Source organism: Homo sapiens, chromosome 21 (genome assembly GCF_000001405.40).
Source record: "Homo sapiens chromosome 21, GRCh38.p14 Primary Assembly".
NCBI lineage: Eukaryota > Metazoa > Chordata > Mammalia > Primates > Hominidae > Homo > Homo sapiens.
In genome coordinates, this window is record NC_000021.9 from 9,771,613 (window position 1) to 9,798,660 (window position 27,048).

The 27,048-nt window shown below is 41.5% G+C and overlaps 1 long non-coding RNA gene across 1 annotated transcript in view; it reads right to left on the reverse strand.

Moving 5' to 3' along the window:
- Window positions 1-10,235: 10,235 nt before the first annotated feature.
- Window positions 10,236-27,048, reverse strand: part of LINC01667 (long intergenic non-protein coding RNA 1667) — a 39,214-nt gene continuing 22,401 nt past the window's right edge. Inside the window, exons 4-6 of the long non-coding RNA NR_038377.1 lie at window positions 20,943-21,030; window positions 11,636-11,693; window positions 10,236-10,692 (exon numbers count right to left, since the gene is read on the reverse strand). This is a non-coding gene — a long non-coding RNA (long intergenic non-protein coding RNA 1667). The remainder of the gene's footprint in view (window positions 10,693-11,635; window positions 11,694-20,942; window positions 21,031-27,048) is intronic.

Here is a 27,048-nt window from a genome sequence, read left to right on the forward strand (position 1 = left end):
TGGAGCTGAGTCAGAAGACGCCTGGCCTGCACTGCGGAGGTGCGGAGACCACACAGGTCGGTGTGGCTCCATCGCAGCTAGAGGATTCTGGGACATAATATCCGCTCTGGACTGAATGTTTAAGTCCCTCCCAAATTCATGTTAAAACTCTAATCCCCAGGAAGACAGTATTAGGCGGCATGGCCTTTGGAAGGCGATTAGGCCAGGAAGGGCTTATTGCCCTTATAAAGGAGAGGGCTCCTGTCCCCTTCAGCCACAAGAGGCCACAGTGAGAAGGCACCATCCAGAAGCCAGGACAGTAGCCCTCACCAGATGCCAAATCTCCCCGCACCTTGACCTTGGACTCCTTCACCTCCACAACTGTGAGAAATAAATCCTTCATTGCTTATAAGCCACTCTGTCTATTGCATTCTGAGATAGAAATCCAAACAGACACAGACCATATTGGTCGTATAAAGTGGAATCCAGCTGGCCCCATTGTCTTGGTCCTGCAGGGGCAACCACATGCCTGCCTCAGAGGCATCCTCTTCTGAGACAAGGTAGCATAAATTGAGTCGGGAAGTGACCCACTCTTAGCTCCATCCTTTATTTCCTGGGTGATCTTGGAAAGCTGCATCTCTCTGGCCACTGGTTTCCTCTCCTGTAAAATGGGGATATTGGGAGTTCTTAGGGGATTAAGATATGCGACTGAAGCGGCTACATTGTCTGGGGTATATACCCTGGGGTTTCTTGTTGCGTGCCAGGAAAGTTTGGGACATGGACACACACGAGGAGCTTAGGAGTGGAGGTTTAAAAGGCAGAAGAGAAGAGAAAGAGAAAACAGCTCTCTCCAAAGAGAAAGGGGCCTTTGAGGGGACGGGTGGCTGATGCACCCAATTTTATCATCAGGTTTGAGGAGGCGGGGTCTGATTTCCTTAGGGCTCAGGGATTGGTTCCATCAGGTATGACATTTACATAGTGAGCGGGAAGGCTGGTCGCCCTACCCCAATCTTATTATGCAAATGGCCTTTCCAGTTGATCAGTGCCATTTTGTCTGCTCCTTACAGTACAAGTGGTTGACAAAGAGAAGGGAAGATGGAGCCCATCTTGAACATGTCTAGTCCCTAGTTCCTGCCAGTATTCACCATGCAAGCTCCCAGGTGGCTAGTCTATGTCTGCAGCTCAACTTTACAGGCTGCTCTTTGATAGAATATGATGTGGGGCTGCTTTTCATTGAAAACAAAGGCCTTACCAAGGACTCCCCTACCCTTTCTGTCTGCCTAAGTGATTTCTTCTTAACTCCTAGATCACTACGTAGCTAAAACAAATGATACCTGGAAACAGTTGACCAGTCGTTGTCATCTTTGGATGTCCCTACTAGAAATGCACAGCGCTCTGCCCACCATATGATCTTTGTAGTTGTTCCCACCGGGCCTGAACCTCTCTCCCCATCGCCAGCCTGCCCTGCTGTCTGCATGGCTGACTCTCATTCATTCCCTCTCAAGCACTGCTTCCCAGAGAGTTTCTCAGCCGCCCTACCAAATGTGCAGTCCCTATCACATTACCCTTTTTATTTTCTCCACCACACTTCCCACCATCTACAATTATCTTGACTGAGCATTTGCTGGCCTGTCCATTGTCTCTCTACTCGTAGTAGAATAAAAGGTGATTGAAGGCAACAAACAGCCCATCTGTCATCCTCACTGCCATATTTCCAAGCCCTAGAAAAGTACCCGAACAAATGAAGCACTCCATAAATGCTTTTTGAATGAGTAAGTAAATGAACCCAAATGCATTTTTCTTACTAATCCTTTGAATTATTTTTACACATTTCCAATTACTTATTTCTCTTTTTCTCTACTTCCAAAGAAACCGCAGTGGATACTGTGCACGACTCAGAAGCTCCAGGCAAGGATAATAAACATGCCACATCTGTATCTGTGGATGTTCCTTCAGCCTGGGCAGAAAAGATACAGTCAGGAAGATACAGAGAAAGAAACAACAGTCCATATGTGTTTAATATTTATCAGTGTAGCAAATTTCTCCAGTAGAAAAAGAAAAGACAAAGTTAGTTTAATTGGATCCAGTTTCTTTAAGTACCTTTATTTTCCCTTGAAGAAAATAAAGGAGGAGAAGGGACTTAGCCAAATAATGATTTAAATTTATTCTAGTATTTCTGAGGGTGCCAAGTCAGGAGGTTGCTGAGGTTTCTTTCTCTTTCCTTTGCTGAGGTAAATTTCCAGCTCAGGCATATGGACTGACGTGGAAAAGCAATCAGTTATAAAGAAAAAATACATTTGGGGTCTGTCTCTGTTGGAAACATAATTGAAAGCATGAGTGTTGTGTGGTTTCTCTCAAACTTCAAAAGTGTGCTCAGGCACATGAAGGGGAATGCCATCTGTTTGTTGTTAGGGTCATGTTTTACTTTCCTGCTTACACTTTCAATATAGTCAAAGAGCTCAGCTTTTTATAAAGAAAATTACTACTTAGGTTTACATTAGTGGCAAATTTACTCATTTTCCCTTTTCCATTAGAAGAATGTTGTTAGATAATAGATTAGAACAATTTGGCAATTAATCACAGTCACCCACTCTTAGAAATTGCTCATTGGCCAAAATAATTAGTACAAACACTACTTAGAAAAGAAATGATCCATCTTTTGTAAACCTAAGAACATGTTGGCACATTTGCAATGCTTGATAACAATAGCTTTTGTGCTGCAATGTACAGGAGGTGCCTTGAAATTTATAGGCTGTTGGCTACCAGCACCCATCATCCACCTCAGCACCTGCAGGAGCCCTGATGGTCAATAGGAAGGCATAGAGGGAAAAATACTGAGCTTCGGAACTTGAACCTCAGACTCAGGGGCATGTAGAAACTAGTCCAAAGTAACACTATTGCTTAGTGGCAGAATCGAGCCTGGAATCCAGTTTTCCTGATTCCTGGCTCAGTGACCCCACGGCTGCACGTGAGGGTCCTGTGGAGTTAGTGTCCTCCCGTGCTAAAGTGACACGGCTTGCGTTAATCCATAGAAACGTTCCATGCTGATCCCACAGACATGTATTGAAGGCAGACTATGTTCTAGGCTGTGTTAGCGAAGCCTCCATATAGTCACAGTATTCATTTCCTAGCTTAATTGTTGTTTGACTATTTTCAAGGTATGTCAGGCCTAACCTACTAATTCCTCATTATCTGCAATCTTATTTAAATACACTGTGTCAATTGAGTGTTTGTGATATGAGCATCAATTTTGAGATAACAGGGATACAAAAGAAGAAGGATCCCTGCCTCTAAAGAGCTCGCCAACTTATTATGTGGAAATAATGGACCGAATGCCACTGATGCAAACGCACCTTCCCTCTAGGACGTGGCTCCTTTTTTCCTTTTTTAGTTGTTCTTTCACCACGTCAGCTCTTCTTTCCTGGTCTGCTTTGAAGTCTTCTTCTCTCCTCTTCCCTCTGCTGGTTCCTTTAGCCCTGGGCTTCCCTGGGGCTCAGTCCAACGTTCCCTCTTCTATTCTCTCCCAGGGTCATCTCATCCAGTCGTACGGCTTCTATTATCATCCATAGCAGAAATTATGAACCCAGAGTCCATGGATAAACTTTTGGGCCTGTGAGTTCCTTGAAATTATATGCAAATTTGGTGTATATGGTCATAGCTTCTGCCAGCTTGGCAGAGGGGACCTAGACTCCACAGCTCTACTGAAGTGGGTGATGCCCAGGACTGCATGTTCCTGAGTGTCAGGGGCCAGCTCTGACTGGCCCTGGGCACCGTGGCTTGGAGATCTCACAGCTGCATGAAGCTTAAAGCAATCTTATCTAATTGCAGTTCCCCATCCCCTGCCCGCATCTCTACCTTCCGCTTTTGTGTCCCTGTCATAGTAAGTAGCATCATCACCAGGTTGTCCAACTAGAAACCAGGGACTTTCCAGACTCTTCTCTCTCCCTCATTCCATACAGCCATCTCATGTGCTATGGGCTCTTTCTCCAAAACCTCTCAAATCTATTCCCTCACCTCCATTTCCCCTGCCCGGCCCTCTCAGCTCTCCTCAGCCTTTACTGGACACAGCAGCCTCCTGGCTGGTCTTTCCTCAGTCTCACTCCCATCTCTTCTCTCTATGGAGGCAACTGAGCATGCGTTTTCTTTTTCCTTTCTTTCTTTCTTTCTTTCTTTCTTTCTTTCTTTCTTTCTTTTTTTTTTTGAAACAGAGTCTCGCTCTGTCACCAGGTTGGGATGCAGTGGTCTGATCTCGACTCCCTGCAATCTCTGACTTCCTGGTTCAAGTGATTCTCCTGCCCCAGCCTCCTGAGTAGCTGGGATTACAGGCACCCACCATCATGCCCAACTAATTTTTGTATTTTTAGTAGAGAAAGGGTTTCACCATATTGGCCAGGATGGTCTCAATCTCCTGACCTTGTGATCTGCCCACTTTGGCCTCCCAAAGTGCTGGGATTACAGGAATGAGACACCTCGCCCGGCCCCGAGTGTGCATTTTCTAACATAAAATCTGATCATATCAACTGGGCGCGGTGGCGGACGCCTGTAATCCCAGCACTTTCAGAGGCTGAGGTAGGCGGATCACTTGAGGTCAGGAGTTCAAGACCAGCCTGGCAAACATGGTGAAACCCTGTCTCTACTACAAATACAAAAATTAGCCAGACATGTTGGTGGGTGCCTGTAGTCCCAGCTACTCAGGAGACTGAGGCAGGAGAATCACTTGAACTCCGAAGCAGAGGTTGCAGTGAGCTGAGATTGTACCACTGCACTCCAGCCTGGGTGACATACCGAGACTCTGTCTCAAAAATAAATGAATAAATGAATAAATATCTGATCCCATCATTGCCTGGCTCAGAAGCCATTCCAGCGTACTCCAGAGATGAAAACCACAAGGATTGCATAGCCTTCCGTAAATTGTTTCACACTCTGTCCCCAAGATCGTGACACTCACTGTAACCTATCACTTAGCTTCTCAAACATGCCATACTCCCTCCCATATCATGTCCTTGAAATATGCTTCTCTCCTATGCTACCAACCTCCCCTTCCTCGTCCAGCCCTCCCCACAGCACCCCCAGCCCCCACTTCTTTCATTCATCAGCTAACTGCTCCTCATTCTTCAGTTTCTACTTCTCCCTGAGGGAAGATCTGATTTCCTCAAGGAGGGAAGATGTCCCTGCTGTTGGTTCCTCCATAGCAACTCCTCTTTTGTAATATCTGGAATTCACTACCTTGTGGTGATGTGGTTGTGCCTCTTCCTCCAACAAACATCCACGCACTGAGGGCAGGGCTCACATCTAGATGCTTGCTTTCGTATTCCTAGGATCTAGAATAAGGCTCAGTACTCAGTAGGTGCTGTGCAAATACTTAGTGAGGAGTCAAGAGCCCATGTGCATGGGACAGATAGTGAAGCACAGTTAGAGATTTGAAAGGAAGTCACACCGTTGGTTACAGCTGTCATCCAGCAAGTAGGGCTTAAGCTTGTTCAGAAAAACAGATAGGGTGTGGCTTAGGCAGGATAAGAAAGCATAAAAAACAAAAGATGGAAAAACATTTTGGGAAAAGTGAGCTAATTAAAGATATGATCAGTGAATAGAGGAGCCACAAGTTTTAAGCAAAGCAGACCATTTCCTACACATAAAATTAACAGTAGAAAAATTAAAAAATAATTTATTGCTCACATTTTTGGCTTTAAAGGCCATATAGTTAAGTTGTTGCAACTACTTCACTCTGCTTTTGTGTTGTGAAAGCAGCCACAGACAAACACATAATTGAATAGATGTGGCTGGGCTCTAAGAAAACTTTACTTCTAAAAACAGACATGGAGTCTGCCGTTTCTTTAGAAATTCTTTAATTCCTTGCTTTTACAGGCTAGGCATTAATAAGGTAGAGATGGCAGTTGTCTGGAAACTTTTTCTAAAAGCATTTATGAGTTATAATTTAATGGCAATGTTATCTCTATTAGTTGATCTATTATAATTTAATGGCAATGCTATCTCTATTAGTTGATCTGTGCTCTATCGGTTTGTCTATCTACTGAATACATACTCCATTTATTTCTAAAACTTGATTTGAGATGCTGTTATATAATGATTACAAATTGTACTATTGATATTTACAAATAATCATTAATTTACTCTGAATAGTCTTAAAAACTAGAAAATATCAATCTAAATGACAAATTTTCATCATTTTGGTCATTAAAATATACAGTAAGAGATTCCTTGATGAAACCCACCATAGACAAGGGAGAGGACAAGGACAGGCTTTGCTCTCGGCTAAGCAAATGGGAACATGGAATTTTTCCCACTGATGGTAAGACAGAGCCAGCAGAAGAGGCCAGAAGAGATGAGGTCCACAGTGCAAAAACATGGGCTTGAGAATGACATCAGCGACTGGCTCCAGACTTCAAATACAGGCAGGGGAAGAAAAAAACAGGCTTTTGGCTAACAGTTCAGCATCTATCCCAGCAAGAACACACACACAAAAAAAATTCTTCTAAAAGAGTAATACAAAATAGATAGGATCAGAGAAGACAGAGGGTGGAATGAGTTCGAACATGAGGAATTCACCAGTGGCCTGCTGAGGACCATGTGGATTTTAATGCCACTTCAGGAAAATAAAAATGAAATGTCCCACCATCTTAAAGGTTTGGGACTTCTAATAGAATAAGCATTTGATTAATGAAAAAACATGTACTATAAGGAACAAGGGATCATAAAAGGCTGGTTTTTAACAGCCTAAGTACTTTTTGCATCTTGAAGTCTTTTATCACCTTGTAAATCACCCCTGGAGAGAAATAACCGCAGTGACAAGGCAGACTTCCATTACCAGCCTGTCCACCTTGGCTCTAGATTCTCAAGTATATTGTCCTGGCTAGCACCCTGTGGTGTCGTGCCTTTATTATGGGGAAAGAAGGGCTGGGGCATTGTAGTGGACCTAGTTTTAGTAAATGTCTCTGGACAAATACGCCCCCTCCAAAGGCATTTTCCTTTCCTTCACTGTCTCTGTTCTGTTCTGCAGTCCAGCATGCCTCTGTGGGTGGAATTTAACAGCCAGGGTGTCAGCCTGCTAGGGCTCCGCATCTTGTGACTTACAATAACAAACGTTCTGTTCTCCCAGGTTGCTGTGCGGGCTGCCTGTGGTTGAGTTAGGACTCTTCCATGTGCCTTTCATATCCAGACCCAGATTGGAGAGCAGGCCCAGGGGCATGTTCCTCTCATGGCATGGAAGGCAAGCTGCACCTGATGAGCTCTTTGGGAGCCACTGGTTGGACACGGTGTACTGGAAGTCTGCTCATGTGTCATTGCCCAAAGCAAGTCAGAAGGCTAAGCTCAGAGTCAGTGAGGGAGGAGGTGCGTTCACCCATAGGTAATCTGAGTCAGGATGAGGAAGGCAGGATGAATTGGAGTCAGCCATTCCATTGACCACACCGAAGATTATGCTTGTAACTACAGAGCCTGAATACCTCATTGACAATCTCTCAGGTCAAAGTGAGCTGTTCTACTCCTGGAAGACATGTACTCACATGTGGTAAGTTTTACTAAAATGTCAGGAAAGAACCCCAACTTTAAAAATTTGAATCATTTAGATTTATAGCCTTCACCTCAAGCAAATTCTTGGTGAAATAGCTCTTGACTCTTGAGGTATAGTAAAGGAACTGTGCTCAGAAGCTTCTGCACATGGTCTCATGTAGTTCCCACAACAGCTGTGAAAGGTGGTCGTTACCCCATTTTCCATATGAAGGAACTAAAGTTTAGAGACCACGTTGTATAAAGGCCATCAAGCTAGGGAGTTGGAACTGGGATTTGAACCCAGGTCTGCCTGACTCTAAATGACTATGCTGTGTTAGAGGAATGTCTCAGGGCTTAGCATTAGTGAGAAACTGAAACCCAACATCGGCTTGTACATTTCAATCCCATGTTCACATCCTTTCATCACCAGTGCCACTTCAGAGACTGATCTTAGGGGAAATCTCTTTGATATTTACAAAAGCGTATTCATGTAAGGGTGCTCATGGTGGTGCTATTTGTAATGGAGAAAAATTTGAAATTATATAAAAGATTAAACCTAAGGATGCAATAAGTAATTTGATATATCTGTTAGGCAACTTTAGACTTGTTATTTATACAAATATTTGATGTCATTGGAAGTGATCACAGTACAAAGGAGAGACTCTAAAGCAGTGTGCACAGTATGACCTCACACTGGTAGAAAGAATACTCCAATATTAATAGAGAACAATTCTGTATAATATGCTTTTAGGTAACCCACTCCCATGCATACCAAAAGTTTATCAAGTTACATATATATGTAAAATATTGTACAGAAATAATATATATTTGTTAATATATACGTGTGTAATGTATTTATGTAAATATATATATATTTATTTATTTATTTATAAGTACAGGCTAAGACTTTGCCCTCTCACCAACCCACACACCCCCAAAACCAGCCTTTCAGCCAAACTCAAGCTGATAAAAATTTCATTGATCTGAGCCCTTGCGGCAAACTAACCTTTAGCAAAAATGCCTTCTCTAGGCTCCAATTTGAGATCCAGGGAAAACAGGTTTGGAAGAGTTAACGATCTTGGGGAAATTACCATTGCTGTAGAATGAAGATTATTACTTGTTCTTTCTTCATAGGCTAGACACACTATTTTTTAAAGCTAGTTGTTTATACTGTTTATAAAGAAATAAATATTCCTCATAGGAAATTTAGAAAACAAAAGTTTTTAATGATAAAAAGAATATATGATCTCATCCCATCTCTTAGACAATAACACTTTTTAATCTTTTTTAAGACAAGATGTAGCTCTGTTGCCCAGGCTAGAGTGCACTGGCATTATCATAGCTCACTGTAACCTCCAACTTTTGGGCTCAAGCAATCCTCCCTCCTCAGCCTCCCAAGTCACTAGGACTGCAGGTGCACACCACTGTACCAGGCTAAATTTTTTATTTTTTATTTCTTGTAGAGACGAGGGCTTACTATTACTATGTTGCCCAGGCTGGTCTTGAACTCCTGCATAAGGGATTCTTCCACCTCAGCCTCACAAATTGCTGGGGTTACAGGCATGAGCCACTGTGACCTGCCTCTAACATCTGAATTGACATCCTGCATGTAGAGATATGCACATATAGATGACAGCTGTACACCCATGCATATCTATATCCATGCATGCATGCACATGCTTTATCAGGCCTTCCACTCCTTAACAGCCTACAGATAGAAAACTTAGAGGAGCAGCAGGGACGTACTTTCATGTACTAAGCTACCTAGCATACAACTTTTAATGGTTTTTGATTTTAAATGGAAAGAATCTTTCAGCGGGAGACATCAAAGGGCCTAAGAAAAAAATGGTTTTGGTATTAAGTGGCTAGTATGCTTGTCAAAAAATGACAAGAAATAATTAAAACTAAACTGAAACAACCACCACCCCTACAAAATCCAGAACAATGCACCTCATTTAAATGTTTGTGAGGAAGTAGAATTGAGTATCTTTCTCACAAGTAAGTTCTTCTTGAGGCAGAACAGACAAGAAACAAGAACTAGAAGTATTTACAAATCTATGTCAGTGGTAGAAATTTCTCCAGCAGGAAAACAGAGCCTCAGGCTGTGTAATGAAAGTTGTACTGTGAGAGCTAACATTTATTTAGTGGATATTATGTAAAGTCAGCATTCCCCTATGCAAAGCATATTTTGGGGCCATGTTGTAAACAGCAATTTCTGCATTGAGTTGGCCAAATGTGTTCACTAAGGTGCCCACAAGCATTGGATTGCTCCAGATCGGGTGTTTCTTCTCCTATTGAAAGGCTGTTTCCTACCTTAATGTCATCTGTTGAGCTCTTTCTGTTTTATAAACGTATGGCTTATTGGATGATCCTAAAGTCATTGAGCCCTTATTATTGTAATTAAGATGGTAATATTAAGATTATTTTTACCTCAGGACTGAAATTACTTTCAATGAACAATTTAGGTCACTGTTACATAGACAAGAATTTAACTTAAAGAGTGAATAGGTAATAAATGATCTCTAGAATGCTTACAAATATCTACTAACTTTTTAATACAATGCTAAAGCCAAATAACAAGGCAAGGTGCTTCTGTAAGTGTTCTCGGGACCAACCCATTTACCAGTCTGAGTGCAGGCAACCACCATCTCATTTAAATCACAGAAGTTTAGGGAAAATCTTATCCAGTATTATGGGGCTGTACTAGTAAACTGCACACAAAGGAGGCCACACGAATTTGACAAAGATTTAGAGATGGGATTCTGACAGTCACGTTTTATATTAACCAGAAAAAGAGCCACCAAATTCAACCAGAGATGCAATTTTTTTGTTCTTTTCAACAAAGTTGAATAAAAGTTGTTGATCAAAGAGTGAAGAAATTTGAAGATAGAATTTGCCTTAATTTACAGATGAGCCACCAGAGGCTCAGAGGGATGAAGTGTTTTGTTGAAATTACACAGTGGGTGCCATTCCAATGACTTGTGACTCCACACATTGCCTTCTGATATTCATTAGGAAGTCATTTGAAGGAGGAATTCTAAACTTTTTGGAAACATCACTGCTCTCTACTCTTCACCCTTATTGGAAATGCTTTTATTTGGAGAACCTTCACCACCTTCATGGAAACCAAAATGAGGGTCTTCAGAGTTCATGTTCCATGTAGCATTAACCCTACCATGTGCTTCCCTTGCACAGGGAACTCCTCTGTAAGGAAATGGGGAAAAAGAAAAGTATTAAGAAACAATCATTATTCTCAAGGGAAAATGAGAGGCTCTGTTTCTCTTGCCTGAAGTAAAATCGGTGTTATTAGTAGCTGCATTCACAGTGTGAAGAATCACACAGAAAGCCAGTCATTTTGTTTGCTGATGGAGAATTCATGTGGTCCTGCTTCTGACTGATCGTGTCACAGATAATCAATGTGCTGTATCTCCAGCCACCTCACTCTCTGAACTTAAGGAAAATGAAAGTCATGGTTTCAGACCACTTCAGTTTCTTTTCATTTTTCCTGTCTTTGACAATGAAAAAGTGGGCAACTTTATAAAAAATGTCCTAAGTGAGTAGTTGAAATCACTGATTATTTTTCAGGTATCTAGTTTCATTCTCTCAGTAAAGAACACATGAGTGATAGGAATGTGACTCATATATAATTCCCTCTTTTTTCTGTTATGTAAACATTCCAAAAAGAGAAACATTAAAAATTGAACCCAGGGAAGATGCATCTATCATTATGAATCATGATTTCGTGGCAGTCACTGCAGGAGAGAACCTGTCTCTCTTATCCTGATGGTACTTGCGATAAAATACAAGAATATGTGGCACCACTGTCCTTGATAAATTGAGCACTAGAAAAGCCATGAATGTGAAATTATCTAGCACATGATAAATCTGCTGTAATAAATAAAAAACGAATAGTCAGAAGAAGTAGGAACTGCGTGAAGTAAACTTTGCTTCAAATGCTGCCTATCTAACTTTGGGCAGGAATCCTGGCTCTCTGAAGACTGTAGAATTGGGCTCTTTAGGTCATGATTACCACCACAGAAGCCCTTGCCTAAAAAGAAAACGTTATGGAGTCACAAGTTTCACCTTAAAAATGTGCCAAAGGGATGTGTCAGGATGAATGTGGAGTTGGTTGAAAATTCGTTATTACCTTCTCATTGTCAGGAGTGGCATGATCTTCCAGTTGACATCCTGGGAGGCTGTTAAACCTAGGCACAAGATGAATCTTTTAAACGTGCTCTCAATTTGCCTCTGCAAAACCTACTTTGGTCTTCAGGCAGAAATGAATGTCATATTTTAAAGTATGTCGAAAATTTCTAGAAAGCATCATCAGAAAGCCCTAATGCTCCCCTTCATCATTAAGCTTATCAACAAAGATCTAGTAAACACCCCAAAACTAGCAGGTCTCTAAATGCTGTTATGGCAACAAATGGAAAATTTAAATTTATTTAAAATAATTATAATAATTCTCAGATAAACCACAGGATTCAGAAGTCTGTTCATAATATTTTCCAGTTGTTGAGAATGTAACCCTCTTGTAGATTGAGTAAGAGTTAAATTAAGTGATAGCCCATCCTGTTCTAACAGGACCTCCAGCGCCTCCATAGGCCATAACTGGGCAGATCAATACTGAGGTGCTTCCCGCTCAGCTTGGGCTTTTCAAAGGTTGAGCTGGCAGGAATGGCTAAGCCCTCAGGGAAGGCACACCAGACACAGGAATGGGGTGTGGAAGGTCAGCAAAGAAGAAGGAGAAATAAAATGATTCTCTGATATTAAAGGTAAGCTGCTTATATTTGTTTAAAATCTTGACTGGGCACAGTTCCTCACACCTATAATCCCAGCACTTTGGGAGGGTGACACAGGCAGATCACCTGAGGTCAGGAGTTTGAGACCAGCCTGGCCAACATGGCAAAACCCCGTCTCTACTAAAAATACAAAAATTAGCCAGGCACGGTGGCGGGCACCTGTAATCCCAGCTACTTGGGAGGCTGAGGCAGGATAATCGCTTGAACCCAGGAGGCCGAGGTTGCAGTGAGCCGAGATTGTGCCACTGCACTCCAGCCTGGGAGACAGAGCCAGACTCTGTCTCAAACAAAAACAAAAACAAAAACAAGAAAATCTTTCTCTCCATCATGTTATTCAATATGTTTTTAAAAGCACCATTTCTTATAGCCTGATACATTTCAAATGGCCCCCCTCCCCCAGGGATCTCTGTTGCTCTCTCCTCATTTTCCATTGGCTTTGGTGTTTGTGATAAACCACAGCAGAAGTGAGTACATGGAATCATTTATTTGTAGCCCTTCTGCTCCCCCCTAATCCAAGCCTGCTGAATCCAAGCCTGTGGACCATTCTGTGGTCCTTGCTTCAGTGGCAAGATACAACAGTGTGGAAAATCTAGAAAAGTCTGGCTTCCTTGAGTTTATTATAAACATCAATGCTGTTAGGGAATCAGAAGAGGACTCCAGGAAGCAAAGAGAAGAAAAGGGTTCCTTCTCTCCCGTTTCCAAGACTGGAAGAGCCCCTCTGTGTGGAGCAGGGCACGCTAGTGTTAGGTAGGGGTTCCTAGAGAGGAAAGGCCTGCTTTTTGTCTATCAGCCACAGCTCTGGGTTGTCTGCAAATCCTGAGAAAGCTTTGTGAGATCTGAGAGCAGAGATGACCTCTGTCTGGAAAGAGTGGTGAGGAGGTGGAGGGAGAGGGCTGCAGAGAGCCTGGGCATAAATGCCATAGAAACAGTCATGAAGTCTCCCATAATGTTGGGTGGCACAGAAATGTAAGGCCAGATCCTGTGTCTCCATCTATGGTATAGAAGCAGTCAAGATATCCACCAACCAGAAAGAGAACACATGTACAGAAGTGTGTGACCATAGGTGGCATGTGTGTGTGTGTGGATGAGGGAACACCCCAAGAGGATGGCAGCATCTCATTGGATGCTGAAGTGAACAGATGACATCTAGGACCAGGTGCTCCCCCAAACCATGGTGCCCTGGAACTTAGATACAACTTCTAGAAAGGTAGGGAGGAAATACTGACATTGATTTTTCTTTATTCCAATAGAATCACAAGCTAACTATTTAAAAAAAATAAGAAACACAACTTATTCACATTAATTTCTGGACTGAGGCTTATATCCACAAATGCATTTTAACTTTAAAGAGCTTAATGAAGAGCTTACTTTCTTAGGGTCTAGTGACGTACATATCTGATTGCTCATGTGGGAGGCTGCATGGTGCATTGGAAAGACGTTAAGTCAGAGAAGCACAAGAAGACATTGAGTTCTGTTCTGCTACTTATCTTCTCTTAGTCTCAGGTTTTTCCTTTTTTTTTTTTTTTTTTTTTTTTGAGATGGAGTCTTGCTCTTTCACTGGGCTGGAGTGCTGTGACGTGATCTCGGCTCACTGCAACATCTGCCTCCCGGGTTCAAAAGATTCTCCTGCCTCAGCCTCCTGAGTAGCTGGGATGCCCAGCTAATTTTTGTGTTTTTAGGAAAGATGGGGTTTCACCACATTGGTCAGGCTGGTCTCGAACTCCTGACCTCATGATCCGCCCTCCTTGCCTCCCAAAGTGCTGGGATTACAGGTGTGAGCCACTGTGTCCTGCCATGGTCTCAGGTTTTTCACATGCAAATGAACAGTTTGGACCTGATAATCTCTGAGGACCCTTCCAGCTCTGACAATGTGATTCCTTGAGCTGAATTGTTGGTAGTGTTACCAACAGATGAGATGAGATGTTGGATACAAAGCACATAGCTCGAAGCTTGGCACTTATGTGGTCAAAAAAATACTAATTCCTGATATCCTCCCAGTGGTATTATCTAGTGAGCCTTCTTTCAAATTCAAAGGTTTTATTTCTCAGATATAATTTACGTGAAAGGCTGTGATTTTCTCCTTTCTCTGAGTTCCAAGTGCAGGTTTTGTTCTGAAGAAGTCACACAATGGACTGATTTGTCAGTGTATTTGTTTCCAAGGATTTCCCTTCTACAGTTCTTTTCATAAAAGTGGCACTGGTTGACCTGAATTCATGACCAGGCTGAGACAGGGCTTTCTGCAACCCTGTTGAGGCCAATCTCGCTGTCTGCTTCTATTGCATTCTTCAATAGGACACTTAGTCCATTGGGCCAGTGCACCATGCCAAAAGGAGTTACTAAATTGTTAAAGGGGGCCTCAGCGAGTTCACGTAGATAGAGGGAAATGCCAGGTCATCCCAGAGGCTGAGGGTCTATCGAAGTTAGTGCTTGAAGGTGCTGTTGCATTGGCAGTGCATCACATGATACAGGGTTTTCACGTCTGCTTTGAATACAACTGTTTCCTGCAGGGCTGCTAGTGTCCGAGCCTTGTCTTTTTCTGTTAGAAACCTTCAACAAACTACTCTCTAAGGGGACAGCGTTTCTAATAGGGGATACTTTTGACAGAGCTGGCTGAAGAAAGCAAATCGTGTGATGGCTGAGAGAGGATCCTATCACCCTTTATTGCACCATGCTCTTTATCTCTTCATTTACAACCACCTTCTCATTGGCCTCTTCATCACTGTATTTTGAACACATAACTAGTCTTTTACCCACATACAGCGTCCTGCACCTGCTGGGGCTGAGCTGCAGTATGTAGGGGCTCACAACGATGGTGTTTTGCTTTGCTTTTCAGACTCAAAATACCTCAGCCAGGAGCCGCAGCTGGTTTCTTTCAAAGTGGTTTGCAGATCCCCTGCATCCTAATATGCCTGGGGTGCCCAGTGAATGCAGGTTTTGAAGATCCCATTCCAGATCCCCTGATTCTCCAGATCCCCTGATTCAGAATCTCTGCACTTTCACCTAACACCTTGATGCTGGAGACACCACTCACACATTCCCTTCTACACCTCTGTCTCACTGCTAGGAGCCACCTCAGCTAACTCATGCATCTCTTTGTAGATGGCTCTTTTAGTTGTTTTCTTTGCCAGCAGAAGCTGGGATAGATTTTCTGAGAAGTTCACACGTCTTATTTCAGTAGGCTCATACCTCTAGCACACTGTGGTTTTACCATAAGCACTTAGACAATGGCCACGGATTTAACATAACCGAGCGTGCAGTTCTAGTTCTCATCATACATACGCTTCCACCAAAGTTGTAATCTGTGTAACCATAGCGTTTCTTGTGCTTTTTCACCTGTTACTTTCTATTACTTAACAGCCCAATGTGAGGAAATGATTGTCAATGAGTGCTGGGAGTACCACACTGTTGTACTTTTTGACAGAGTAGGCGGCTCTGGAACCTGTATCGGTCTGGCTGCCTGGTGCATTTGCTGGCCGAGCATTTCTGTTTTTGTTTTCTTTTTTTCTTTCTTTTTTGTTTCTGAGATGGAGTCTCACTCTGTGGCCCAGGCTGGAGTGCAGTGGCATGATCTCAGCTCACTGCAACCTCTGCCTCCCGGGTTCAACTTTTGTATGTTTAGTAGAGATGGAGTTTGACCATATTGGCCAGGCTGGTCTTGAACTCCTGACCTCAAATGATCCACATGCCTCGACGTCCCAAAGTGCTGGGATTACAGGCATGAGCCACCACACCTGGCCCTGGCCAGGCATTTCTTACTGATGATCTGAGTTGTTCCATCTTACTCTGTTCCCTCTTAGTATTTCCTAGTTACTAACATGCCCTGAGGCTGCATTTGGATCAATTTAATACCACTGTTGTTTCCAGTTGTCACCTCCCACCATATGGCAGTTACTCCAGTCTCCTGCTCTTGCTTATCCTTGAAATGCATCCCAGCCAGTTAGGCATCTCTGCTTCTGAGACAGGAGGCTGAGAATTCCACCATGTTCAAGGAAATGGCCCTTAGGCACTGTCTAAGGGGACCATATAGGCAGTCTGATAAAGTCACATCTAAGAAAAACATTTCAGAAAGCGTCAGCTAGCACACCTTTGATTATAGAGGAAGCCAATTATGCTCAAACACTAATGAATTCATTTTTAAGGATGTTATGATGCAGTTATGCATGTGCTTCTTTCCCAATGCATTAAGTAAAGGGAAACAGCTGTGACTGAGATGATCTTTGTAAATTTGAAGAGCTAGTGATCATAAATGATATTTTGAGATAACTAAAAATTATATTAATGTGAAAATATCTGTAATTTGTATTGGAACAATATCACATGTACGGTTAGTAGTATTGTGGGTTATGACTTACATTCATAATTGGAGGAAGTGCTATACATTTTAGTTAAAGATTATAGGAAATAAAGATTCATTCTTTCATTAAGTTCACGGTCCCCTCAACTGATTTCTAAGAACCCCTGATCTAGCTCAGTCTCCCAGTTCTACCTGGGAACAAAGACTCTGAGATATAAACTGGATGCCAGGATCACACTCCTGTTTGCCAGGTAGGATTGACTCTCGGATCCCTTCACCCATGCTTCTTTCTGCTGTGCTCCCCTGCTCCTGCTGCTGAATCATGAGATGGACTTTAGTGGTGATTGTGCTTCGTGATCCTATTATAGTTCCGATGTTTTTGTGTTACATTTGATCCCAGCAATTCTATACAATTCCTTTTCTCTGACGTGCTTTCATTCTGATTGAAGGTCAGTGCTGGGTGCATGCCATACTCCATTTCTCCTGGAATATGATGGCAAGTTCCCTAATAATTTTTTTCATTCTTATTGATCAAAGTACCATGCTCCTACTTATTTAGAGGGAAATAAAAAAAAATGATAGCAGGAAGCGTGTTTTTCTTTTGGGTAGTGTGGATCTGAAGATTGTATTACAAAATTTGATCAATATATGAAATATAGAGAAAAACCAGAAGCGATCAACCAAATTAACAGAGCCTTCTGAGGCAAGAGTCACTGGGAGACTATGGAAGAGCTAGAATACACTTCGCAGAATGGATTTCAGTCTCTCAGAGGCTCCAATTAGGAAAAGTATTTCCTGAAGCAGACTGGATTCTGTGGGATCAACCACATTTTATAGCACTCCAATTGTTTGCATTTGGAATTCTCCCAAACATTTCACCATTTTTGGAATATTTTTAGATTGGAGTCAAAGATACTATATTAATCTTCAGATCTTGTGTTGTTACTTAATTTTTCTTATATGTAATTTTATCTCCTTAACTAGGCTACCTGCATTTTGAGATTAGGAAACTAATAAGAAGTGTTGCATTTCTCTGCATCTTTCACAGCCTTTATAATGGTGTTTGGCTGCAAGTTTACGTACACAGTGCACTGCGGAAAGAGCCTTTGCTTTCCACCCACACACACAAGGAGCAAATCCCATCTTCACTTCCTATTTCTTGCCAGGTATTAATCCAGCTAGCTATGCCCCAGTTTCCTTACTAAGTAATACCTACTTATGCAGGTGCTTTAGTAGAATGATACAGAGCAGAAGGTGGTTAAGACAATACATGGCTCACAGCAGGGGTTTGAAGAGACAACTATTATTAATTAGGTTTCCATAAATATGTGTGATTTGGTGCTCTTACTAGCTAGTGTCCAGGGGGCCTCTCTTGTACATTTTTTTGTAGTAGTCTTAGAAAATTGGAGCTAAATAAGGTGAAAGCCTGCAGAGAGGTGCAGCACGGAGCATTCCCATACATTTTAGCGACTGTTTATTGTGGATGTGTCATGTCTATTTGCCTCCTTCCTCTTTCAAAGAATTGATGCCATCCAGCATTGGCGTGTTTTCTCTTCAGTTCTTAGAGCCCTGCTTACTAAGTCAGTGAAATTGTTTATATTGCTTTCAAAGGGCCAAGAAGTGAAACCATTTGAAAAGAGATAGGATTATGTTGGGGTTTTAGAAAGCTGACATGTAACACTAATTTTTTCCATCTCGCATTCACAATATATTGAGAGAGTACCCAGAAGACAGATAAATGGAGATCAAAATTTTAAAATATTTGTTATGTATTTTGAAAATTCTAATCATGCCAAAGAAGATGACTTTAGCTCTATGGTCTAATACTTCCCCTAGGTCTATGCTAAGGCTTCTCAAAGCAAAGAAGAGCAAAGCAAAACAAAACAAAGGAAAACAGAACAAAATTGGAGGTTGTCCCCCCGCACATGCAGACAGAGCTTGCCCTGAAAAGCCATCCTCACAGTGGATAAAAAAGCATCCTCTCTCCAGGCTCACACATTGAAGAGAACTCTCTCCAGGCTCACACATTGAAGAGAACTCTCTCCAGGCTCACACATTGAAGAGAACTCTCTCCAGGCTCACACATTTGAAAAGAGAGAGGGGATGGCATTCTGCTAATCATGTTGTTTCTTCTCCCACACTCAATAGTAAGATCAGTCTCTCTTCCCAGAAGAAGGAATTTTAAAAAGAGGCAGAGAAGTGCTAAGCATCTTCTAGCTGAGTGGTCCTCGATGTGTGGTCCCAGGCCAGCAGCATCACCTCAGCTGGGGATTCATCTGTGGCCTCATCCTGGATCTGTGACTGCTATGATGGTCCAGAGTCCAGGGATCTGAGTTCCACCAAGCCTTCTGGGCATTCTCCCTCAGTGGCCCTTAACCCAGGGTCCAGGGATCTGAGTTCCGCCAAGCCTTCTGGGCATTCTCGCTCTGTGGTCCTTAACCCAGGGCCCAAGGATCTGAGTTCCGCCAAGCCTTCTGGGCATTCTCGCTCTGTGGTCCTTAACCCTGGTTGCACATCAGCATTTCTTAAGAAGATTTTAAAATTATCCATGTTCGAGACCCACAGGCAGAAATAATTTATAAATTGAAATTCCTTAGGCTAAGGGCAAGGGATTCACACATTTTGCAAGTGCTTTGGATAATTCTCAGGTGCAGGCAGCGCCCAGGGCTACAGCATGGTCCAGCCCAGTCCATGGAAACAGGAGTCCTGGGCACAGTGCAATGGGCAGACGCTGGCGGTGACTTCAAACTCACAGTCCTGCCTCTGGGGTGTGTCCTTTCCTCCTGCCTCAGCACCTGGCCTTGAGAACATTATGAAGTCACCTGAGACACAATTAGATCTGGTGACAATGAACAGTGTGAGATGGTGAGTTTTTGAGGCACAGAAAGCTCAAATACCACTGACACCTCTAAACTTGTCAGTTAAAATGTGGACTGCATTGTTTCAAGCCGTCACAAAATCCAAAGTAGGCAGACATTACCTAATGTATTTTGAAGAGATAATTTCACATCCTTGAAAGGAATCCAGACTGAAGACTGCCTTCGTTGGCACCTGAGATGACCCCTCAGAGAGCCAGTGAAAATGTAGAAAAGACACAGAAGCCTTAAAGTTTTTACATAAGTTATACTTAAAAAAAAAAAAGATGGAAAGATAAGCTGTGTAGCCAAAGAGAAGAATGTTCTTTAGAAAGAGTGAATTACAAAAGGGACATGAACGCATGGGGTATTAAAGTAAGTGCTGACAATATTCTGATGACGGGAAAATTGAGACTAAGATTAGTGATATGGTTTGGCTCTGTGTCCCCATCCAAATCTCATCTTGAATTGTAGTTCCCACAATCCCCAGGTGTTGTGGAAGTGACCTGGTTGGAGGTAATTGAATCATGGGCGTTGTTACCCCCATGCTACTCTTCTTGTGACAGTGAGTACGTTTTCATGAGATCTGATGGTTTTGTAAGGGGCTTTTCCCCTTTTGCTCAGCACTTCCCCTTCCTGCCACCATGTGAAGAAGGAAGTGTTTGCTTCCCCTTTTGTCATGATAGTAAGTTTCCAGAATCCTCCCCAGTCCTGAGGAACTATGAGTCTATTAAATCTCTTTACTTTCTAAATTACCCTGTCTCTAGTACATGTTTATTAGCAGCATGAGAATGGACTAATACAACTAGTCTTGACTTTCTTGGGGCCCTGAATGAAAAGCAGCTTTGTATTTGTGCTTCCTCATAAAGTGCCCATTGACTGTAAAGAAAAGCATCATGGGCCACATGAAAAACTGCTTAATTTTTCAGACATGGGCAAACCTTTTCGTTTGCTCCAATTTTCAGAAGAGTAGGACACTAAAACATGATGAATACAACATCTAGACTTAATTCTATATTATGTGAAAAGTAGTAAAAAGAATGAAGGATAGAAAAAAAGAAGTGCTAAGGGCCAAAGAAATGGAAGAAAAGAGAAAAGGAGAGAGAAAAAAGAATAGAGCATGATAACAGATCAATAGAGAAAAACACAAAGACAGAAGAAGAGAAAAAGGAAGGTACAAGACAGATGTGGGAATTGGTATAAGAAGATGATGAGTAGTCAATATGAGGTGTTAGGAAATGGCCTCTTGGGTTGACTTGGTCCCTGGCCTTCAGTCCATTACAAATCCTCCCAACAGACATTGAAATGAATAACTCTTTGGCTTGTATTCAGAGATATTTCACTCTTCTTCATTTTTAGCTTTCAGAGATGCTGCACTGAAAGGGATGTCATAATAACCCCACAGAGTATAAATTACTCCATGAACTGCAGTGTCAGTGATGAGAGCAATATTAATTTCAGGTCCAAATGAAATCAAACAAAGGGTTAGGTCTACCTATGTACTGAAAGTTTCCTTGTCTGACTCCAAGACTCTGGTGTTGAAATTCATTGATCATTTGGAAAAGAGGCCTTCTGCAAATTCAATACACATCTGAAAAGCAAAAATGACATGGTATTCCTGCAGACTGCTGCCAGTAAAATGCTGAGTGAACACTGATAAAATTAATGTGCCTTCAAACTTGCACAGTGCACCTCTCACTGTCTTGGGGATCAGCCCAAAATAGGGGTTATTTTAGCAGCATGTCTGCTGGTTGTGGAACTTGAGTCATGGCTCCTTGCTAAGCCCCTGCCACTGGAGATTATTCCAGCAGCATGCTTTGGAGTGGCAGGTGGAATCCAACCCATTCATCATGCAGCTAGGCCCAATTTTCTTTTCTGATTTCCTTGGCCGACTTTGGGGATTCCTTAAGGAAACTGTGTGGCACTTGCTATACTTGGGAGATTATTAGAGGCCGATTATCAATCTAGGTATCTCAGAGAAATCTGATTTATGTACTTGAAATTTTCTATTTCCTGGATTTGGTGAAATAAGATCAAAGTGACAAGTCAGTCGGGAGATAACTTTTAAATCAGTGGTAATTTTTAGTGTTCCTGTGTTTACTTTATGACATTAGGTAAATAAATTCTAAACATCCTTAGTTTACCATTTGAATCCCCTGTCGTATACTGTGCTTCCAGTAATCACAGGGTCATGTACTGGCCTTGGGGTTGCCTACATAAATAACAGAGCCTGGGCAACCTGTTCACAGGTGTAGTTCTCGGGAGCAACACAGCCGTGATTTTTAACCAGAGATGTCTGTGTTCAAAGCTGGTACTTTAAAACAATTTACCAGCTGGGCATGGTGGCTCACTCCTGTAATCCCAGCACTTTGGGAGGCCGATGCAGGTGGATCGCAAGGTCAAGAGATCAAGACCATCCTGGCCAACATGGTAAAACCCCGTCTCTACTAAAAATACAAAAATTAGCTGGGCATGGTGGTGTTCACCTGTAGTCCCAGCTACTTGGGAGGTTGAGGCAGGAGAATCGCTTGAACCAGGAAGGTGGAGGTTGCAGTGAGCTGAGATCATGCCGCTACACTCCAGCCTGGTGGCAGAGCGAGACTCCATCTCAAAAAACAAAAAAAGAAAAAAAAAGCACTTTATCATTCTGTCTCTTTATATACACATTATATACTCTGGAAGTAGAATCTAGAGTCCATAAAAAAGATTACAAATAATAAATAAAATATTTAGAATAACGACTAACACACAGTGGCCATTCAGTATGTAATAGTTTTCCTTATAATAATTGTTATATCATATTTTTCACAATATAGATTGGGAAAAAGCTTCTGAGTGACTAAGTATATCACACAAAATCTATGGTACAATTTATGGGGCTATTTTAACTTATTCGCATTTCGAATACATGTTCTTATCTGGTTTCTAGGGCCACTTATTAGAAGCAGCAAATTAGGACAGAAAAGAGGGACTGTTACAGAAAAGGAGAGTGGTAAGTGTGAGAAATGGTGGCTAAAGGCTATTAGTGGTTTTGTGAAAACTACAAAATTATAACATTGGGAACATAAACTGAAACATTAAGAAAAACAGCCCACTGGAACCACTTCGTTTAGGAGTAAGATAAACACTAGTTCAATAATCCCTGAGGACAATTCAGTCCTAACCGTGTTCCTGGATCCACCATCTGCAACATTTCTTGTGGTGTGTTCTGCTGGTAACGAATTATTTCTTCATTTATATGTCTGGAAAACTCGATTTTACCTTGATCTTTGAAAGATATTTTCTCTGGTAGAGAATTTTAGGTTGACTTTTTTCCTTTCAATCCTGGAGAGATTTTGCTCCTCTGTCTCTTCCCTTCCCTTGTTTGAGATGAGAGATAGACGGCCATTCTTATCTTCATTCCTCTGTGTAGAATCTGACTAGGCAGGTGCTGTGGCTCACACCTGTAATCCCAATACTTTGGGAGGCTGAGGAGGGCAGATCACAAGGTCAGGAGCTCAAGACTAGCCTGTCCAACATGATGAAACCCCGTCTCTACTAAAAATACAAAAAAAAAAAAATCAGCTGGGCGTGGTGGCGGGTGCCTGTAGTGCTAGCTACTTGGGAGGCTGAGGCAGGAGAATTGCTTCAACCTGGGAGGCAGAGGTTGCGGTGAGAGGAGATTGCACCACTGCACTCCCATCTTGGCGACAGAGCAAGACTCCTGGAAAAAAAAAATAAAAAAAAAAAAAATATATATATATATATATATACATATATACATGACTTCCCCTCTCCCACATCTCCTGGCTTTCAGCGTCTTCTTTTTATTTCTGGTTTGAGCAATTTGGTTTTCACATGTCTTGGTGTCGTTTTCTTCTTGGTTCTTGTGCTTGGGGCTAAACTTCTGGGATCTGTGGGTTTAATACTTCTGCTTTTTCCATCTTTGAGGATTTTAATTCCATGTATATTGGACTACTGGGAGTAGTCTCACATTCTGTGATTAGCCCCACTAATGCTCTCAGTTTTTTTAACTATTATTTTTTCTATGTTACATTATGGAGTTTTTATTGCCACACTTTCAAATTTACAATTTTTTTCCTGCAATGTCTAATCTGCTGTAATTTCCACTTTGTGTATTTTTTGACCTCAGGAAACTGTAGTTTTCTTCCCTAAAAGTTCAGTTTGGGCCTTTTTAATCTCTCATGCCTCTACTTAACCTTTTGAAGATGTGGGATATAGCAATAATTGCTTTGTAAATGTTCGTTTTTGACCATTCTGGCATCTGTGTCAGCTCTGCTGTTGGCTTGCACTGTGTGGCCCCTGCAGACTTCAGGCTGGTTTCCTTTGTGCCCTTTCTCACAAAGCTCATGCATGGATTTCCAGCAGGTGTGTGAGTAAAACCCAAATCAGAGGTAATTCTGATTAGCTCTGGAATCCTGTTAATGGATAAACCTGTGTCCGTATCAAATGGAGGGAGAGAAAATTATTTGTGCCTTCAGGGTCATCTCCTGGTGTTACTGAAAAATACTTCCAGAGAGTCTATGGGCCACTGTGAACCGCTGTAGCTACGTCCACCCAACTCCACCATCATCAACTAGATAGTGAATCATTCTGTTCTTTTCCATGATACAAAATGCCTGATATGACCTGAGTTTTAGACATCGTCCCAACCTCCACGCATTTAGAATAATAGGTACAATATGTCTGTTAGTGCATGAATAAAGTCATATAAAATTGTGACTTTGCATTCAGGAAGAGTATTCATGGCGAATATTTAGTGCATGCCATCTGATACAGAGACACTAAGTTCCTCCAATATGTTTGCAATGCTTTGGGGGCAAGGATTATATCTTTATTCCCTTCTTTAGTTCAGTGGTTGGCAATAACATAGGTACAAAGCAAAAATGCGTTAGTGCATTATGGCCACACCGAGCAGCGTATTCACACTGGTAATGTTTATTGAAAGAAACATTAAATATCACACCTCGATATTATCAAGGAAACTAACTGGATACACTGTTTACAAGGCTCGATGAAAATGTGAGGTACCTTGTTCAAAAATTATTAAGAATTCTAAGACTTTGAAGTAGAGCATAAAACCAAGTGCCTGTCTCTGCAGCCACACTGATCGTGTAGCCGTGGAGCTGGCCTTGCCCAGAAATAATAGTTTACAACAAGCTACTGTACAGTTCAGAATAGTTAGAAGATAATCATTCAGGTGTTTCTAGCATAAGAAACAGACAAATATTTAAGGTGTTGGATACTCAATTACATTAGTTTCATTTTTACAAATTATATGAATGCATTAAATTATCACATGTACTACCAAAATATGTACATCCATTATGTATCAGTAGAAAATTAAAATTTTTATTAATGGAGAAAAAAATGAAGTCCCTGATTAAAAGTGCTAGAAATGAGAATTTAGACCTTAAAAACAGCTAAAAATTTAAAAGGAAAGTTTTGGCAACAAGCCAACCTCAGAAAGTATGAGACCCAAATTCAAAGAATGAACTATGCAAATTTCTGGCTCACAGCAAAATTGCACATGTGCAAGGGAGATCTATGAAGCCTAGTGAAAAAGCAGAAAGAAAAAATAATTAAAAACTGTAGAAAGTAAAACCCAATTTCAAGTACAAAAAACAAAACAAAACAAAACAATACCTCACAGATTTCTAAGTTGCTGAAGACAACGTAATATTTCCTCCCAAGACCAAGAAGAAGTTGATTTGAAAAGAGCAATTACTATACAGACTAGTGTTATATACCATTGGTCTAGTTAGATTTGCTGCGCTTAATGTTACTATTACGTAAAGTTAGTAGTTAGGGTCTCGGACTTTTAAAATAAAAAAAATGTAGGTACTATGATGGCAAATATTGGGGTTCATATTGCAGAACAGTTGAAGTCATATTTCACTGTTGATTGAATATGCCATGGATATGTGAGCATCTTGAGTTGGTTGCACGACTTTTATACTTCCATTCTGAATGCAAAAAATTAAAGCTTTATGCTTAAATTAAATAATGTGGCTAAGATTGTTAACACGAGCATATGAAACTCAGCTCCTTGAAATAGCCCACCTAAAAAGATGCTTGCTTTGGGGGAGCTGAATAATTTTCTGGGGACACATCTTTTCTTTGTTTGATTTGTTTGGTTCAAAAAAAAAGCATTCATATTATGGCTTGATATGCCATAAAATTTTGATTTAAAATCTCGAAAAGCCAGAGAAAGACTATCTACAAAACTGTCAAGATGCATTTTGGATTGTCTCCCTACTTCCATTTTCTTCAAAAGATTTAAATGCAATTTGGATTATAAAAATCACATTAAGATAGAAAGACTGTGGGATGCATTTCACCTGGGGTGCTTGTTAAAAAACGCAATTTCTGGGATTTCATTCCAGATCTACTCAATGAGACTCTGCAGGTGTGCCCCTAGAATCTGCATTTTTTATGCTTTCCAGATGTTTCTTATGCACAGTCAAGTTTGCAAACCACTGCTCTCGAGTTTTAATTGACATTAAGTAGAACTTTTAATGGATGCACCCCTAATTTCTGAATTATTAATGATTAATAGAATCTGCTTTTACTATACACTCACTAAAATACATAGCTGCTTGGGCTGAAATATACAGATGTGTTGCCTTGCTGAAAAGGGAAGGAAAATCAAAGCTCAGACTGAGTCATGTTTGAAGTTTAGCCATGAAATTTGATGGCTTTTAGCTGAATTAAATGGCAGGCAAAATGTGTGTCTGTTCTCCACCTCTCTCCTCTAACAGCGTTTCCCTGTCTTGAGCTAATCCTTATGCAGGGATGTCTTATCACTGCTCACTGAATATCTATAGAAAGACACGAGTTACAAAGTCAAGAGCTGCAGACGTCTCTAGGTTTCTCCTCGGAACAGTCAGTGACACAGAGCTGTGTCAGGCAGAGCCTGCTGCTGATTTAATTTGATCTTTCTAGGGAGGATTAAGAATATTGTCCTCAACCCAGTTAGAATGTTGCTGCTAAGTTTCAATGTGTCAGAGGCTTTTTCATTTTCCCAGAGCCAGTGCTGGCTGGCGTGGCGAGTGACAACATTGCAGCATTTGCAAAGTGACTACGTCGTAGCATTTGCATTATCTTCCTTGGTGTGCATATCTTTCAACCATGTCAGGGAAGCGGTTGGAAGGAAAAATCACAGAGCACATAAGAAGGACTTCTGGGCCTGCTCCGGAGGCTTGCAGAGGACATGCCCGAAGGGGTGCATGAAGCCTTCTGTCCCATACCTGTCCCTTGCCTCGATGGGATTCTGTACACCACAGGTTTCTGTCACCACTTTGCCTTGAAATTGGAGGCCTCAGTTATGAATTTTATAACAACATCCTCAAATAAGGCCTCACTTTGCAGTGGGTGCCTAACTTAAGGATGATTTTTAAATGACTGTGTCATGTTTGTAAAGACACTTTGTACTTATCGAAGTGCTTGCATATATACCATCTCATTTAATGCTTGCCAAGATTCTGTTAGGTATGCGAGGCAGGTACTGTTATCTTCACTTTATGAATGAGGAAAAGGCACACAGAAGCTAATAACAAGTGAAGTCAACACTGGGTCTGAAATTTGTAAACTCTGATATAAAAAAGAA